General features: G+C 36.5%; 1 protein-coding gene across 8 annotated transcripts in view; it reads left to right on the top strand.

Moving 5' to 3' along the window:
- CD47 (CD47 molecule) overlaps positions 1–19,906 on the top strand; it is a 47,941-nt gene that overhangs the window by 2,024 nt on the left and 26,011 nt on the right. For all 8 annotated transcript variants that reach the window (XR_241522.3, XR_924218.3, XR_007095769.1 and 5 more), the window contains exons 2-3: positions 8,664–9,017; positions 17,826–17,915. Coding sequence is in view for 4 of the 8 variants with exons in the window: in XM_005247909.3 (XP_005247966.1) it covers positions 8,664–9,017; positions 17,826–17,915 (444 nt within the window). In the remaining 4 variants the exon portion in view is untranslated. The remainder of the gene's footprint in view (positions 1–8,663; positions 9,018–17,825; positions 17,916–19,906) is intronic.

Raw genomic sequence — 19,906 nt, 5'->3', positions numbered from 1 at the left:
TGGATCTGTACATTCATTTGTATTGAAGTTTGATTTTGCTTTCAGTTTCGTTAATTAAGCCCCGGGAATCAGGGACCTTTCCTGGCACCCTCTACAGTGTTAGTGGCCTTTGTGGTAAAAGAAGTTATCTCAGATACTCATTTCATGCAATTACAGGCAAACTGGAAGGCACCTTAATGGTATGCAAGATGTGAAATGAATTACTATGTTGCATTCCACTCTGCCCCCACTCATGTACAATTATACTTTGTTTAAAAGTGCATAGTTTCAGTGGTATTTATTAGCTAGCAAATAAAACTTTAAATAAATAATGATGGTGTTGTGAACTGTCTTTTCAGTGGTTGAATGATTCCTCTTTGTTCAAAATGAGTTGTTTTTTTTTTTAAATCAGGGTACATATGATTAAATAAAATTTTTTTCCATCGTCTAAGTCTAGTAGTAATTTGGCTTGTTTAAATAAAAATGTTTTCTCTTAAAGAATATATTATTTTTAATTACAAGTTGCCATTTTAAGGAAGTAAATGCCTATTTAAAAGTACGTATTTATGGGGCCGCCCCAGCAGTCTAGAGGCAGTGTTTTTTAAAGCATTACACTAAATGCCTACCATTAGGACACTTGCTCATGCTGTCATCTGTGTTTTGGCAGATGTTTTATCTTTGTCACTGAGTTGTTCATGGAGATTTGAAAGGCCAAGTTCTAAAGATGAGAGATAGATGACTTTCCCCCCAAATTGATACATATTCTAAATCCAAAATAATCACGCATATTCGCAAAACTAGATTTGCATTTCATAGTATGAATTCAGCTATAGCTAGTATATAGGCATTGCTTTTAATATAGTAATGTTCTTTTTGTGGCATAATTTTCAATCACTTTCCCTGTCTTAGGTTTCTGCCTACCTTTTTATACAAGATAAACATTTCTATTTTCATATCTTATCTCTCAGTCTGATTTTAATAATATCGTCTTGGGTTATCATAAAGTTACTTTCACTTTGTATACTAGTGTAGATATTTCTTCTGTGATAAAAAGAACAAGAATAATAGTGTAGGATCAGTTTTGTTAAACTCATTGTAGTACTAAAGTAGAAAATACAGAGCACCCAGGAAATTTGATTCTGATATACCTAGACTAAGACAATAGAATCTGGGTTTTTCCTCTTTACGATTATACAGTGTTGAAACAGAAATCAAGCTACACCCACCTCTGAATATTTCATTCCAAATCCATGGAGCAGTTGCATAAGACTCAGAATCTGGTCAATCTCATGGTTTGAGATTCAGATTAGGAGAATTAATGTGCATATTTGAATATATATCACACTTGTAGGTTAAAAGGTAAAGCAAGGGGTTTGGCTAGTTCAAGGCCTGTCAAAACCACTTTTTTCCATTTCAAGCAAGTATGAGCCTATACTACACACCAAGCAGTTTGCAAAGCCCTCTTTGGCATATAGACAAATTTCAGACAGTATGTCAGTATGTCTCTTAATGACTTAAGATGTAGTATATAGACAGTAGGGATATCTTGTTTTTATTCCCTCATGGTACTTAGGTGCTTGTTAAGGCCATAATTCTGGATGTTATTGACTTTAAACTGCCCTGCCCTTTTTAATTCTAAGTTGGCCTCTTCCATTCTTATAAGGCCACTTTTAAATTCATTAGGGGGATTGCGTTGGGTCAGAACTAAGTACAACTTGTGGACACCCCACTCTACCCCAGACCTTTATTTTAGTGTCCATTGAGGAGAGATCTGACTTCATCCTTTTTGTACGTAACCCAGTGTAGCTAGAGACTCCAGTTCTTCAAGCCAGACACTAGTTCTAAGGGGCAAAAGTAGGTAGGATTGCTTTCTGGCATGTGTCTTTACTGATGATCTTTGCTTCTTTACCTAAGAGGCTGCTGAGACTTCTTACTCCATTCCTGAACATCCATTCCCAGCAGATAATTAACTTCCTACTCTACTGCAAAAAATAGTGGTGTGTGGTTTGGACTCCCTCTGCTTCCCTCCCACCATTACTAAACTGATCTATAACATCTTAGATAACCTTCGTCTCATTCTCTTCCGTCATCCAGCTTCAGAAGAAAACCTACTCACTTTTCCAACGAAAGGACAACCTGTCTACCACCTTTTCACTTCTACCATCTTGGAGACCTGCTCAGTCAGCATAATTCTTCAGTCTTGCATCTTAGATCTTTCCCTCTCCATTGACTCCTTCCCCGTAGCTTGCACACATGATCAAATTTTACCCCATATTAAAAAATAAAACAAAAAACCTCAAGAACCAAAATGTCCTTGCCCTTGTTCCTGCCTGCACATTGTCAGTTGTTGCCTTCTCTGCTTTCTTACACTGCCAAATTTATTGTAAAAGAATCACTGCCACTTAATATATTTTAAGTGCTTGATAAAGCCATCTTGTTTCTCTCTCATTTCTCAAACATAGTGTGCATCAGATCTCACTAGTCCATTGACAGATGGAAAGATATTCTCCCCAAATATTTAAGCCTCTTTTCTCTATAATTAGCCTACCATCTAACTAGCTACACATACTATTTTGGTTCACAATTTTAATTTTCCCCTCTTTATCTCCCCTGCTTCCCACAACTAACTTCTGTTGATTACTGTAAGTTTTAGGTCTTCTCTCCAGTTGTTCTTTACCTGGACTATTGCAGTAGTCTGTTAACGGATCTCCCTTTCTCTTTTCCCTTGCTGCCCTCAGTCCTTCCTTTACACTGCTGTCAATGTTTTTTTTTTAATGAAATTAAATCTGAGTGGTTTACAGTTGTTTATGTTATCAAGTCTAAACTCAGCATGACATTCAAGGAAGCCCTTTAGAATTTTTCTTATTCATCTTTTCCAACCTCATTTCCTAGAGCTCACCTAAATAATTCTCTGCTTTCAGTTCTTCACTTTCTTTATCTGGCTGTACACGTTACTCTGCCTAGAAAGCCCCTTCTTTCCCATAACATTCTTACTCATCCTTTAAGACCCAGTTTAAACATCACCCTCTAGGAAGATCATTCATAGACACATTCTTGTGATTTTTAAGGAACTTTTCTATCCAACCATACAAGTGACTTGAGATTTTCCATGAAAATATGCAGCTTCATGATTTCATAATCAAGTCTATACAAGTGAGAAGCAGTGGCAGGTTCTCTTGAAATACAGAAGAAAAATCTATCTTCTCCCACATGATTTTTAGATTTTTCTTCTATGGAATTTATACTTTAAACTTTTTACATTCACAAGGAAGGTATTGAATCCTACTTTCTGGACCCTGTGTTAGATTCTTAGGATACCAAATGAAGACAGTGTCTTACTTTCTGAGCCTGGAGAGATCAGTTAAGTAAAATAGTAATTACACAGTAGTAGGTACAGTGACAACATTTGAACACAAGGCAATGGGAGCAATAAGGAGGGGAAGAATACAATTGAGTAATGGTAGGGAAGGGGAACAAGATTGAACAACTCAACTGTGCTTTAGTAGGAAGAGCAAAAGTTAGCAAACTGTAGCTGCCATTTATTGAGTACTTGCTGTATATGTGAAAGGTGATACAAAAACATGTTATCTTATTAAATCTTAACAATATCTCTATGAGGTATATACCATCACTATGCACATTTTATAGATGAGGAAACTGAGGAGCAGAGGTAAGTAACTTGCCTAAGGTTATACAGCTAAGAAGTACATGAGGTGAATCTTAAACTAGGGTCGACCCCTTAATGTGTGCACTTAACTATTATACACCCTATGTACTCAGTGGGGTAATAGTGTATAACAGTTAAGAGGCTATTTAGGTTTGAGGAACAGTATGTGCTAAGGCATGGGGATGAGAGTGCATTTGCATAGTCATGGAATTGCAATAACGTCATTATGATTGGAGCTTAGTGTGGAAATGAGGGAGTACAGGAGGTGGGGCTGGAAAGGATCTTGAAGGACCTCGTTTGTATTCCATGCTAATGTACTTAGAATTTAGCCTGAAAAGGGTTGAGGGTGTTGTTAAAGTATCTTAGGCAAAGGAGTGCACATTTGCATTTAGAACAGTTATTTTGGGAACTGTAGAAAATACATCAGGGCCAGGATGGAGAAACCTTGAGGATGGAGGCAGGGAGCTGGTTAGAAGGGTATGGCAGTAGTTCGAGGGGGGAGGATGAGTGTCTAATTCATTCATTCAACAGACATTGGATTTAGGAACTATTAATTAGGTTGAACCTACTAAGAATTCTCCATGGCTAAGGAGAGGGAGTAATCTAATGTGATTCTTAGGTCCAGGTCTGGTTCACTGGTAGATGATAGAAAATACTTTAGCAAAGTGATTTAGGCTGAGGGTAAGAAGTGGGGGTACGTAAGTTTTTGGACATACTGACTTTGAAGTAACTGTATTACATCCAAGTGGAAGTGCACAGCAGACAGTTGGCTGTCCAACATCTGCAGTTTAGAAGAAAGGCAGTGCATGATTCAGTTTTTTATTTAAAAGTTTGCAGGTGAAGAAAACCATGGGAGTCAGGGAAAATACTAGGGGGCAGAGGGTACTGAATCTGAAGCCCTTAGGGACACTAACATTTAGTGTGAGTCAAGGAATAGATTTCAACAAAGAAAGCAAACTAGGATGGGGTGGACAAAGCAGGAGGAAATTCGTAATCAGGAGATACCATGGAGGCCAAGAGAGAAGAGCAAGAAAGAGACTGCCCACTGGCTCAAGAACTGTGGAAAAGTCAAGACAGAAAGTGAACCATGCATATTTGATTTTTCACAAGGGATTGGTGGTGACTTTGGCAAGAGCTGTAGTAATGAAGAAGTAGGGGTGAATGGGTGGAGGCCACGTAACAGATTTAAGGAGTGAATTGGAAGTGAGGAAATGCTTATAGATTGTTAATTTGGGATGCTAGGGAGAGAGAAAGTATGAGGGATTTTTTTTAAGTTGGCAAATATTCAAGCAATTTTTAAAGACACACACAAAAACAACACCTTGTAAATGGAATGGGGGATGTGGGAGGCTGATAATCAACTAAGGAAAGTCGTTGAGGAGACTGATGGGTATGGAGGCAGAAATGGAAACTAGCTTTCAGGTGATGGGATTCATTTCAGAAAAGGAAGCAAAAAAAAAAAAAAGGTGTGGATAGTTGGGGTTACAGGTAGGTTTATAGGGAAGGAGTATTGGAAGCTTCAGGATTCTCCTCTGAAGGTTTCAGTTTGTATTAAGAAATAGGGAGAGAGGACTGTTGGAGAGTATGGGATAAAGGGCAGAAGGGAGTAATTTAAGAGTTGTTAAAAAGAAGCGAACATTTACATGAAATATGTAAAATGGTAAAGATTGAAGGCCCGGAGGAGCAGGGACTATGACATTCTTCTGTTTTTGCCTATTAGCAACATGAATTTTCTTAGAAATCTGTAAGACCAATTACTCTTCTGCCCATCCATAAGGACGTTGTCCATGCAGAAAAGATAACACTTGTAACCTTGTATTATATACTTATCATCGCCCATTTGAGAATTGTAAGCTCCTAAAAGATAATAACTATATTTTTTCATCACTATATCCCCACATCCTATCACAATATTTCATCACAGGTAATTCTTGACAAATGTTGATTGCATTTTTAAAATTTCTAACCTGAACTTGTGTGCTGTGACCACCATGGATTGAGTCTTCTCTGCCACTACAAAGCTCTTTTCTAGACTATGATATGAGATGGTTTGGGCTGATAGTCTATATTCACCAATACTTGTACAGTTCCAATGAAGGTTTCAAGTCTAATACTTTTGGCATTTGATATAAAATCATTTTCCCATTTTATTTGCTAATTTATCTATAACTCTGGCATTACTCTTGGTTACATTTGTCTGCTGCTATCTGATTTAGACTGCTATAAGCATATCTTGTTTATTCAGAGTTTTCTTATTCATGTTAATTATCTGTGTTTCTTTATTTGCTCTCTACATTTTAAATAGTTTCTTCACTTTGCTGTTTTATGAGAAGGGAGTAGGCAAAAGGAAAAAACCCCAAATCAGACAGTTTTACTACTTAATAGTTTTTTAATGCATCTTTATAGAGATTGAAGTTGTAGTTAACAGCTAGAGTGATATTTTTGGCCTGCCCTTATTTATTAATTACTAGTGCAAAGGTTATTCAAATTGTGGTTTATCCAGGTCAATTTTACTGTTATTTTTACTAATAGCATTTATTCTACTTAAATTGCTTCAGCTATAAAATGTTTTTATTGTAACAAATAATGCAGTATAATTATTGCTTTCTGTATTCCTTTGAAAATTCATTCTCTAAACATATGTTATGAAATGGTGGATTGTTCACCAACTACTTCTTACTTACTTAATTAAAGCCTTTGCAAAAAGTTTCATAGGATGACTGAGTTCTTCATTCGTACCTCTTTTTTTTAAGAATAATCTCTTGAAAGTCAAACCATGATTCATACAAATATAAAATGAACATGTGTCAAAGATTTTATTTCACTAATTAATTAACAAGCAAACTAGCAAGAAGGCAAAACCCTTTTAAAAGAAAATTGGAAAAACAGACACATTTATAGGCAATCAAGAATGCCTAAATGAATTTGCTAATAAATGCAAAATTGGTCAATATCCTCAGGGCAGTAAAATGTAGTCTTTTGGAATCCTCTCTTCCACCAGGTGGAAATCAATTGCAGAACAAGATTTATTTTTATCTGTATGGACAGCAATCCATTTGAATTACTCTCAGTTTTCTACAACTTATGAAACTGTAAAACAGCCCAGTCAAAGTCAGTGAAAGGCACAGGCTTCTATAGAGTCAGATAATTCCAAAGCGTCTGTTAGACATTGCCCAGCACTTGACTGAAAGGATACCCAGTAGTCTTTGTATCCCTTTCAAAATCTTCACCATATTTTCTGATACTTTCCTTCCTTTATAATTTGAACATCTTCACCCCTTTATTCTTCTCTGGTATACTATGTCCTCTCTCCCTCAGTGTTTCTCTCTCAGGGGAAATAATTCACAATTCCAAAGTTTTAAAGAATGCAACGGAAGTCCAGGTTTTGCCTTGGGCTTCCTAGTATTTGGGTGGCTAGAAATGTAGAAAACTGGGAAGAGGTGAGCTGTGGATGCCCACAATATAGGTTCAGACTGCAATTTCCCAGAAATATAACAATTTGGACTAGTCAAAGAGGGCCCATATCATTACATTAAAATGCCAGATTATCTAGTTTTTATAGTATCACCCTACATTTTTACAGCATAGTATTGTTTAGAGAGCACTTGCCGCTATGTTTTCCATGTTAATGCTCAACACAGTTCTGTGAAGTAGCCCGGTGTTTGTTTTTGATCCTCCTACTTAAGAGATCCTCCTATTTTAGAGAGTAAACCAAGGCATAGAAAAGTGAGTTGCTTAAGGCAGCATATTAAAAAGGGGCAGAAATAGTATTTTTACTCAGGTGTTTTGAACATTGTCCAGTACCTATATTCCAGTATGCATCCTTGCATTCAATTCATGGGGTATTTATTGAGTAAACATAGTGTTCTTACAATAGAAACATTCTATGCCTCTGATTTTTATTCCAGTTTATGTAGAAGTAAATCTTAAGTGTGAACTATTAACAAAGTTGATATTTTATTTATATTTGTTAGTAATTTGTGTTTTGTTTTTGTTTATGTTTTGAGGGGAAGGCCAAGTAGCTACTTAGGTAAAAGAGTTGCTGAGTGGCTGAAGAATATGGAAGACAACTACAATTCCTACACATTCTTGTACATTTTAGTTGAACAATGAGTGATTACATTTATTTACCCAGTGCCTCTTCTATAAGGCAACAACTGGTAGTTTATCCTATTGAGAAGCGTAGATAGGATGCTTATTAGCAGTAACTGCTCTTGGTTTCAACTTGCATCTTACTTAGCTTTTTCACCGTTTTGTGGTTTCTTGGAGGAAGAATACCCATAATATACATTTGGAGACTGTTGTTCTGTAGTGTCAATGAAATGTGGGGGTGGGAAAATGTCATTCAAGACTCCCATACAAAATGTCTATTGCTGCCTATATTTTGCTATGGGAAAGTAGCCACAGATAATGTTTTTTTTTTCCTCATTAGTATTTTAAGATTTTCCATCCTAGTGGAAAGATATGATTTGATTCATCCTATTTACTTTGTATATTAAAGTACAGTAGAACCTGCCACTTTTTTTGGAAATGCAGCATAAGGATAAAGATAAATTTCATATCAGTTCAGCAAGTTCTATTTAGCAGTGTGTTGAAGTTGAGACTGAATAAAATATTTGGTTTGGTTTTCTGTTCAAAATTTTACCTTGATAAGGACAATATTTTTCTACATATATCAGTAGGCAGTAATGATTACTTCAAAGCTTCCAAAGCCAGATACTACACCTGCATGTTCCAACATAGTTGCTGAATTTATTCCCAAGATGCATGTAATGTATACTTTGTATTATTGAGAATGAATAAAGAAAAGTCATAATGATGCCTTCCAGCTGTGCAAGTTAATATTAAAATATAATTTGTTTGCATATTTCACCTAATAGGTCTTCTTCATTGCTATACTGTTTACTTAAGTGAACAATGGAAATGTTGCTGTTTATCTTAAGGATTTGTAACATGCCTAAGATCTTACAGTACAGACTTCTATAATTAATGAAACATTTTTCTTTTTCCTTTCCAGGATCAGCTCAGCTACTATTTAATAAAACAAAATCTGTAGAATTCACGTTTTGTAATGACACTGTCGTCATTCCATGCTTTGTTACTAATATGGAGGCACAAAACACTACTGAAGTATACGTAAAGTGGAAATTTAAAGGAAGAGATATTTACACCTTTGATGGAGCTCTAAACAAGTCCACTGTCCCCACTGACTTTAGTAGTGCAAAAATTGAAGTCTCACAATTACTAAAAGGAGATGCCTCTTTGAAGATGGATAAGAGTGATGCTGTCTCACACACAGGAAACTACACTTGTGAAGTAACAGAATTAACCAGAGAAGGTGAAACGATCATCGAGCTAAAATATCGTGTTGGTAAGACTTCTATGAAAGCTTCTTTTTTTATTTGTCCTGGTGCAACCTGATCCTCTTTCGAGAGGAGGCCAAATGGGGATAGGTACTCCTTTGAATCAAAAAGCAGGCTGTTATTAATAAATGTTGATGTAATGTTTAGCAAGTTTAAGATTGTGATTTCTATCCTATTTGTTAATCTACTCTTCATGGTAAAACACATTTACTATTTAATTTGTATTACTTGTTAATTTGTATATTGTGTGGTTCTCAAACTTTTGGTCTAAGGACCATTTTATTTGGCTGATTGGTCCTGGGGTAATGTACTCTTCATTTCTGTTTGCTGCCATCCAAGTGCTTTCTTTCCTGTGACTAATTTTCAAGTCTCTTTCCAATTATTCAGCCTTCTGTTTTTTGTGTTTTTTTTTTTTTTTTTTTTTTTTTTTTAACCTTACACTTTGACCAAGGGATGACAAGTCCCAGCCATGCTCCCTCTGGAGAGAATAGAGGAGAGTCAGGAGATTAAATCACGTTATCATGGATGATTTCTTCAGATTTTCTGTGCTTAGCCTTACTTTGGTCTTCTTTTTGTTGGCCAAAATATGAGAGAACTAGAGATTCAAATTCATTTATTCAAATTCAGACTTGATGATAGCACCATGATTCTGCCCTTTTTATCACAAACTTGGGTTGCTGAGGTGTAGAAGGTAGTAAAATTAGCTGAAGTAAATAGTCTCCTCTCCTTGCTGTTTCCTGCTGTGCTAGCTGAGTTCTTCAACCCCATATGAGTATGTTCTTTCTGTTTTGAAATCTCTATTTAGAATTACCTGTCATATTACCGATCATGGCTTAACCACATTTTGAGAACCTTAACTCTAGATAGGTTCAGTTCTGTTCAGTTGGATCAACTATTTGCCTAGCTTTTATAAAATAATCTACTACCAGATTAGGAATGGGGTGTTTGGTTTGATGAAATGTTTGCACATTACTTAGGATTGAGAATCAGGAGGTCTGAGTTACAGCCCCTGTTCAGCAACTTACTATTCACCTGTGTGATCTTGAGAAGGTGCTTAACCGAGTCCAAGTTACCTCATGTCCGAAATGGAGATGACAATAGATACTTGCTTTTATGTATTCTACAGTCTAATGAGCATAAACCAAAGTGTGTTGTAAATGTTAGTTGTTTTCCTGGGATGTTTATTTTATGAAGTAAGGTATCAAGTTGTTGAAGTTAGCCTAGAGCATTGTGAGAGGGATTTGTGTGCAGTGAGGAATGGGCAAGGGATGGCTCCGAGTAGGCAAGGAGAATTTGAAAGGTCTTTCTGCTCAGAAATCTCTCTTACATTGTAGCTTTTACTATTGATATTAATTTGGGCAAAGGAGCTTTTTTTGTTGTTGTTAAGTATACCTTTAATGAAGGGTGTAATCAGTCAGTCATATCCACTGCAACTAACTGGTATTAGATCATCTAATACCTAGTTGAAATTTTTCTGAGGTAATGTACAATTTTGTGGAAATGAAAGAATAAGATATGGGGGAACAGTAACTTTTGGGGGGTAATGCAGGTCACTGAGAGGTAAACTGGAAAACTCAAAATATGAGATTTGAAAGGCCAGAAGATGAAATGAAGATGGAAGAGAAAGGAATGCCAGGATCTGAGATAAAAACAGTTTATTATTTTGCGTGTGATTGAAAGACTGTTTTATCTTTGTTTGCAAAATACCCTATAAAAATAAAAACTAGACTTATTTTGGGAGCCATTAAAAGGAGAAAGTATTGTTTTATTATAGAGAATGTAGAAAATTCTACCAGAGGTTTGAGACATTTGGCTTTGCATCCATTTTAATTTTTTGAAATAATTATTGATTTACAGGACGATTCAAAGATAGAGAGCTTCCATGTGCCCTTCACCCAGTCCCCCCAATGGTTTCCTCTTATGTGACACAATATGAAAATCAGGAAGTTCACAATGGTGCAGTGTGTGTTAATGGTTCGCTCTCATTTTATCACGTGTTTATTTGCGTAACTACCTACACAATCAGGACATAGACCTATCCATCATAACAAACATCTCCCTCATGCTTATTCTTACTAGTCATACCGCCACCTCCCACTGTCCCTAACCTGGCAAGCACCAATTTGTCCTCCATATCTATAATTTTGTCATTTCAACAATGCTATATAAATGGAATGATACAAGATGTGACCTTTTGAGAAGGGCTTTTTCACTAAGCACAATGCCCTTGAGATCTATCCAAGTTTTTGCATCTATCAATAGTTCTTTTTTCCTTACTTTTTTTTTTGCTGAGTAGTAGTCCATAGTATGAATATATCACAGTTTGTTTAACCACTTACCTATAGTAGGACATTTTGGTTGTTTCCAAGTTTGGGCTGTTACAAATGAAACTGCTCTGAACAATTGTGTACAGGTTCTTGTGTAGACACAGTTTTCATTTCTCTGGGATAAATGCTCAGAAGTATGGTTACTGGGCTGTATGGTAAGTATATGCTTAGTTTTTAAAGAAACTGCCAGACTTTTCCAGAGTGGCTATTTCATTTTACATTTCCATCAACAATGTAAGAGTGATCTGGTTTCTCCACATCCTCACCAGTATCTGGTGCCACTATGTTGTAACCATTTTTAACTGAAAAAAACAACAAACAAACAAAAACCAGTTAAAAAGTTATCTGCACAAAAAGGTTAAATGGGGCAGGACTCTTACTATGGAGTATAAGTTCTTTTCTAATAAGAATACTTACTTGTCACGGACTTTGAGGATTTAAGCATTAGAAACCATTTTTACTATGTCGTGATTTTTGCAAATACAGGCATAAATGAGAAACAGAATTTGCTCAATAGAGAAGTGAATTCTACTTAATAGAATGCAGATAATAGTGACCATTCTTTGTGCCTTTTTAAATTTTTTGGAGGACTAGGACTGAATACATGGAAACACTATAAGATATAGTTTTATATACCTCTGTGCCTATGTATGATATAGTCCATTAGAAGGAGCACTGGACTTGAAATTAGAAAGCTGTTTTCTAGACTTCACTGTTTAATAGCTTAAGAAAAGTTGGATAAAAAACTCAACCTATCTGTCCCTCAAATTCTTCTTAGTACAGTAAAGATGGCATCACCATCATGGAAATGTTTGAGATATAAATAATACCTCTCTTACTTAACAAAATTTTACTAAGTGCCTACCATGTGCCAGTCACCGTACTAGGCATCACAGATTCTGTGATGAATAAGACATTATTGCTGATTTCAAGGAAGTGGTTGCAGTACAAATATGAAGAGTGAAGTGACCTAACATTTATTTGCACATGTGCCACATACTTTATGTAAGTCGTGTCCTGTTATCCTCTCAAGAACTCTAGGAGATAGATGGAGTTCTTACCATTTAACAAATAGGGAAGCAAAAGAGATTCAAGGTATTGTTCAAGGTCAGAGTAATAGCCAAGAATTAAACCTAGATCTCTTTGGCATCAAAACCCAGTATTTTTACCACCGTAATATGTGGTTCATGTGAAAACACCTTGTAAATAACTAAATACTGAATGCAAATACTAGTAATCATAAAATTTATCATTAATATTTCTGTTCTATTAGCAATACAAAAACTTGAAAACTTAAAGTTTATTTTTCTCTAAGCTATTAGAGTTTTGTTTAGAAAGGTCAGTTCAAGTTCCGCAGTGTTGCCAATTCCATTATTATCAACAGGACATATGGTCTGTTTATAATGAAGACATGAAGGCATTGCAAGATCTTTGTATTAGTTTTCTAGTGCTGCATAACAACTACAAATATAGCAGCTTAAAACACTACCCATTTTTTAGCTCAAAGTTTTGTAGGTGGCAAGCCTGGTCATGGCATGACTGGGTTCTCTGATCAAAGTCTTAAAAGACTAAAATCAAGGTGTTGCCCAGGGCATACTTTATTTGGAGTTTGGGGTCTTGTTCTAGGCTCACATAATTGTGACAGAATTCAATTCCTTGTGATTGTAAGACTGGGGTCCCTGTTTCTTTGCTAAGTATCTGCCAAGGAATTGTAGCAGCTCCTAGAGATTGCCCTCATTTCTTGCCCCATGGCCCCTTGCATATTTAAAGCCAGCAAAGGAGAATCTTCCTCTTGTTGAATCCCTCTCACATATTGAGTTTATTTTGCCAGGAAGAACCCAGACCCTTTTAAGAGACCACTTGGTTAGGTCAGCTCTCTCTCCCTCAAAAATAATCTCTCTTTCTTAAAGTCAGCTGATTTGGGATCTTAATTACATCAGCAAACTCCCTTTTGCTGGGTGATATAATCATGAAAATGAAATCCAATACATTCACAGTCCTAGTCTCCCACACACAAGGGGAGGGAATTATAAAAGATGCATGGCTAGGGCAGGGGTTTTGGGACCACCTTAGAATTCTGGGTTTGATTAAATAAATAATGGGACTGTAGCCTAGCAAGTCGACACATCAGAAAAGCCATCACAATCCTGAAACATCAAGTAAAAATTTGGTTTGCATTTTAGGATTGTAAATGTTACTGTGGTGTATGCGTGTGTGTGTGTGTGTAACCTGGTGTTCCCTATGTTTGTGGGAGTTTGAAGGAGACACTTTGTTGATAGGAATGGTGTCTTCACTTTTTTAGGTTGTCTCATTTTTGTACAGTGATAAGACAAATGAGGTCCTGGGTTTTAATAACACTTCAGCTTGAAAGCAAAAATTAAACACTTATTCATTGACTACACCCTTGTAATATCACTTCTTTGCCTTTCCACTAGCAAGAAGTTCATTTTCGTGGAAGCCATTCTGCCTGTCCAGGAATTGGAGGAGAGTGATAGACACAGTTGTCAGCCATAGCTTGGGTAGAATAAGGATGTGAATGTCCTTGGCTTATCTTTATTAATCTTGTGATGGAAAAATATCTGACATTGTTCTTAGTCCATTTTAAGCTTAATTTATGTTCTTAGTGGCATAGAAATTCAGAGCTGAAAGAAGTATCATGTCTCACTCTCCCCTTGAGGAACAAGAGTTAACGTCATCTGACAGTACTACCATAACAAATCAATAGCTTAATAGGCATATAAGTGGCTTTATATAAAATGTTGGTTTTTTTCCCCCAGCATCTCAGTTGGTTCTTAAATATCTAATTCCATGATCCTCAAACTTTTCCCACTGTAACAAATTAGAGAGAGGAGGAACATGTTCATCAGTGACTGTAGTTCAAATACAGCAGAAATGTGCAGCAGTGATTTCAAACTGAGAGAATCCTGGATGCCCTTCTCCATTGTGTGCCCCCCCCCCCCACCCGCCCCACATATCAGGGAACAATTTAAAATCCTGGCACAATAATGAGAAGGGAGAGTGACAAACTGATAAGTTCCAGTTAAGAATCACTTAGACAGGCCAGGTGTGGCAGCCCACGCCTGTAATACCAGCACTTTGGGAGGCTGAGGCAGGTGGATCACCTGAGGTCAGGAATTTGAGACCAGCCTGGCCAACATGATAAAACCCTGTCTCTACCAAAATTACAAAATTTAGCTGGGCATGGTGGCGCCTGCCTATAATCCCAGCTACTTGGGAGGCTGAGACAGGAGAATTGCTTGAACCCGGGAGGTGGAGGTTGCAGTGAGCTGAGACCACACCACTGCACTCCAGCCTGGGCAACAGAGTGAGACTCCATCTCAAAAATAAAAAAAAAAGAATCACTTAGACAGTATTTTTTGTTCTGTAATCTTCCTCTCTGTCATTGAAATGTCTCATATTTCTTGTTTCACATAGAATCTGGGAGTCATCAAGTAGTCATCTAGTCTATCTCATCATCTAATTTACGAATTATTTCTATCACACCCCAAGTAGCTGGCGATTCAGATTTTTTACTGAAAGCTTGACATGATGAGACATTATTACTTCCCAGAGGATCTTGGTCTGTTATCAGGCAATTTCAGTTCTTCCTTAAATCAAGCTAAAACTTGCTACTATTCTCACTCACTGGGAGGGCTGTAGTATTTCTCTCAAGTTTATACCTCTCTGTGATGAAAATCTCTGTTCTTTTAGCCATTGCTCATGGTTTCGGGATCCCCATTCTAGTCATCTTCCTTTGGAGCAATTCCCTGTTAGATCTTCAAATGTGATGAGTAAAACTGAGCTCAGGACTGCGTTTGTTGGTCACACCCTTCTCCCTTCCAAATGACTGCTGCTGTAACTTTCTGACAGGTCCTGCTTCCCTGTAATCCATTCTCCATGTGGCTGCCAAAGAAGATTTGAAATAAGTCAGGTTATTTTTCTTCCCTATTTAAAGCCTTCCAGCCGCTTGTCATTGCTCTTAGAATAAAATCCAAACTCTCCCAACAAGCTTTTAAGACTCTACATGGTCTTGCCCCAGCAAACTCTTCCCATTTGATCTCATCACTGAATTCCAGTCACAATGGCCATCCTTTGGTTTCTCAAAGTTGCCGTTCCTTTGGCATCTCTTCCTCCCTGTCTTCACAATGTAGGCTCCTTCCCATCCTAGGCTTAGTTTCGTTCCTCTCCCTAGAGGCCTTTCCTTACTGCCTCAGCTTCTCCCACTCTGCACACTCAGGGTCCTCTGCATTGTTCACTGCTGGCCTTCAAGAGCCTAGAGGAGTTCCTCCCCATGGTGGGCTTTCAATAAGTGTTTGTGGAATAAGTGAAAAATGAGTGGTCACACCAGGATCGAATGCACCTCTTACTTTTGTTAATATATTCAAATTAATATTAATATATTAATATTCTATTAATATATCCTAAAATTTTGTTGTGTATAGGGGCAGGGACCAATGAAAGAACATTTCATTGTCAGCTCATCTTGACTATGAGATCAGATATTGGCTATATTTTGAAGGTAGAGTCAGCAGGATTTGCTGTTTAACTAGAGTGGGATGTGGGAGAAATCAGGGAGTCAGGTATAACTCCAAGGTTTTCAGCCTCAAGCAACTGAAGAAATGGGGTCACCACGACTGAAATGAGGAAAATGAGAGGGGGAGTTTAGTGGGGGATGGGGTGATGAAAATATCAGGATTCATTGTGGAACATGAACAGTTAAGATTAACTGAAGAGCCTGAATTCACTGTTCCTCAGTTTCTACAACTATAAGGAGGGGTTAATAATTTCTCACATCATAATTGTGAGGATTTGAGGAGTTGAGGTACACAATTAAAAACAAAAGCACAGGGGAAGTAAGGAAAAATACATCAATTAAGCATGGCTATTAGACCATACAGCCTTACCAAATCCATTGGGGATTAGATACAAAAATCCAAGCATGATCTCCAAAATTTTTTCCTGGTAGGGTTTTAGGCTATACTGAAGTGACTTTTCTTTGGCATAAGAAGATATTCAGTTATACAGTTGGAAATAAAGGTATTGATTTGGAGTATCCAAAAACATCTCTCAGTAGAGATCCACAACCAAAGAAGCATAAAAAAAAGTCTTCCATTCACTCGCAAAACTGTCTTATGACCATTGCAACCCTCAACAGCAAACATATGGAGTCTCTACTACATATAGAGGAAAATGCTAGATTCTGAAAAGCTAATATCTATAAAACAGAGTTTATGATGTTGTTATATTCTGGGGATTGATGTAAGCATTTTACCAGGACTTATTATAGCATTATAAGCTTAACACAAGAAATATGTGGCTATCATTATGGAGTGAAAGGCTGGAAAATTCCTCACCTGTGACCTGAGAGATAGTGCGTGGTAGAATTTGAAAGAAGTGTTGATTTCAGAGGAATGCTAGTGCTTGCTTAGGGCAGTATTCAGAAGAACTCTTCCAATCACACAGCCCCTTGTACAGGCAAACTCCGGAATACTTTCAGTACATTTACTTGGCTTTATTGTTAGAGCAGAAACTTCACAGCTAAAATTATGGTCTTAGGGGTTTATAAGATGCAATTAAACTTAATTTTTAAAAGTTCTCACAAATCTTATTTGAAGTCTTAATATCTTAATTTCCTTTATATAGGATATGTGGATATATTTTTATGATAAAAGTAACATGTGACCAACTTAATAACAGCTTCGTTAATATCCTAAAGCCACTCATCTTACTTTACATATAAACAGTCCTTCTGAAGCCTAATTATGCATGGATAATTGCAGAGTGAGTTTGGGAAAAGACCAACCGGGCACATCTCTCTCCATTTTAACCACAATGAGAAGAGAGTACCTAGTGGTGCATCTTCCTCGCTTAGGTTCCCTGAGTCTGTCTTTACAGGAAGACTTCATTGTTACTTGAAGGTACATTCTTGGAACTTTACACACCCAGCCACTCAACACATGAATACATACTTATTTTAGTTAACTGAGTACTTAGTGAGTGCTAAGCTTTGTTTTAAGCCCTTTGCATGTAGTTTATTAACTTTGTTAATAGTTACAACAGTCCTTCAAGATACATGTACTGTGTTATACTAGTGTAACAGTTGAGGACACCAAAGAACAAAGAGGTGTTGACACGTGGTCACGGTTCCATAGAGTGTTAAGTTAGAGTTGGGTTCAAACCCTGGCAGTGTGGCCACAGAGCCTTGTTCTCAGCCACTGCACTGCACTACCTCCTCCCGTGAAACATAAGAAAAATGTGAGAAATGCTTAAGTAAGTGTAGTTTTTATTCATAAATAAAATTTACATAAGTACATTATGTGTAATTTGTTTTATGTATATGTGTGTATGTATAAATAAATACATGTAAAAATAAGGCCACAGTTTTAATTTTTTTCCATCTCTATAATAAAGCATGTATTATAGACCATTAGCAGAATTTAAAGTGTTATAGTAAATATTAATTGTGACTTTTGTTTTCTTCTTCCCCAGTTTCATGGTTTTCTCCAAATGAAAATATTCTTATTGTTATTTTCCCAATTTTTGCTATACTCCTGTTCTGGGGACAGTTTGGTATTAAAAGTAAGTATTATTTCTACTTTTCATTTATGTTTCAGTGATGATATAGTTATTTCTACGAGACATTGTCAGCGAAATATTTAAAGTTGTACTAGGAAAAGTGCTATTATGATAAATATGAGTATGTAATTTGAATACTACTAGTCTCCTTGAAGTATATGTTGTCGCCCACATTTTGCTGCAGTTCACTTTTAATTCCTAAGAAGGTTGTTTTCACTTGGTGTTTTTTTAATCTCTTAAGAATGAATAGTAGGAATATTAGTACCAACACCTTAAACTCATGTCACATTTTAATATTCACAGAACATCTACACACACATTATGTTATTAGGTAAACAGGTGGTGACAGCCTGCATTAGTTTTAAGGTAGGACGTTATACTTTGGAGCATTTAGATTCCCCTCTTTTTATTTTCCCAGTTTGATTTTCTCTGTGTACACGTGTTCACCCTTGGAAAAGTCCAGTCGGAACTATGTTTTGTCATCCTCTGCGTGCAGTTCTGCAGCCTCTAAAGAAGCAGCCACCAGAGAGTTAGGTTCTTTGATCTTGCTTTCCTATAATAGTAACGTAACCAGACTTCTGAAGGCAGATCTTGATGCTGCATTAGATTTAGCTTCAACAACACAGAATTGTCATTACTAGGCAAATAGGTAATATGCATTACGGTTAATGTTTAATCAACCATATTTTCATATTTTGGTAAAGAAAATTTACAAAATTAATGAAGTTCTGAGGTGACAGTCTAAACTTTTAAGCTTTTTAAATACAAGATTTATTCCTTCTTTCCTTGTAGCATCCTGAAGACCAGTAAACATTTATATAAGCAAGGAATAAATACTGCTTATTTAATTTATTCTGCAACCTTTAAACACACAAAAGCTAGTAAACTATTGCAGTGGATTGCCCTGTTGTATATTTTATGAATTTTACTTTTACTCAGCAGTTTAAGCTGTCTATATCTATGGTGGTGTATAAACATGGAAGGGAGATGACTGATTGATTATATGTTTTAAGCGCTTTTCTCAGTGTATGGCATTCTGGAAATGCTTAGTGATTTCAGAAATGTTCTCAACTTTTGTCTGAAAGGAAAAAAGGGGGAAGAAAGGGGTGGCAGTGGCAACTGTCAAGACATTTTATAACTTTTACTTTCAAGATAGTGTCTAGACTTCTTTTGGAAATTTTCTTATAATCTCTTAGTTTTTTATGTCAAGAAAAGGACTGGTGTAGCATTAAGACCTATTCTGGCATCAATGATATTAGGGAAAGCTTTTAACCATATTGGCAGAGCCAGACTTTAAGGGCTAAGTCATATGACTTGGGCAGGGAACAGCCTTTTTCAAAGATCATGAAATTATTTCACATAGTGCGATTTTTTGAGTTTGGCTTGATGGATGTTTGCTGATCCAGACGTTATCATTGGTGACATTATTTTTAGTGAAATGAACCAGGAGTGAGTTTGTTCACTGTTGGCTGTATTTTTACAAAATGAGCTTTACAATATTTTTTCTGACTTAAAAAAGTCATACATATCACTTTAGAACACCTCGTACAAAGTAGGGAGTTATTTAAAAAAAAAAAAAAAAAACTCATCTGTAGTCCCCAAACCTAGAAATAAACTATTGGTATATTCTGGTGAATTTCCTGTTTCCCTTTCTGTCTTTTTCTATTCATTTTTGTTATCTTTTTTTTAAAAAAAGGTAACCATAAATGGACTCGTACAGCTTATATGCTTGTACGTTCTGATGTTCCCCCATGTCTTCAGAAATCTTGTTATAGCTGCCTGTGTTCTACTTTTGTGGATGCACTATAATTTACTTAACTCTCATCTTGATGGATTTTAAGGATGTTTCCAATTTTTTTGATACTATGAAAATAACTCTGCTAAAGATATGAAGCCTGGAATTGGCAGAGATATTTTAAGACTCTAGATACATACTGGCAAAATGTTTTCCAGAAACGTTTGTATCAACTACTATTGCAGATGAGAATACCTGT

The sequence above is a fragment of the Homo sapiens genome, chromosome 3 (assembly GCF_000001405.40).
Source record: "Homo sapiens chromosome 3, GRCh38.p14 Primary Assembly".
NCBI lineage: Eukaryota > Metazoa > Chordata > Mammalia > Primates > Hominidae > Homo > Homo sapiens.
The sequence above is the reverse complement of the archived record's forward strand: the minus strand, read 5'-3'. Positions and strand labels throughout refer to the sequence as shown.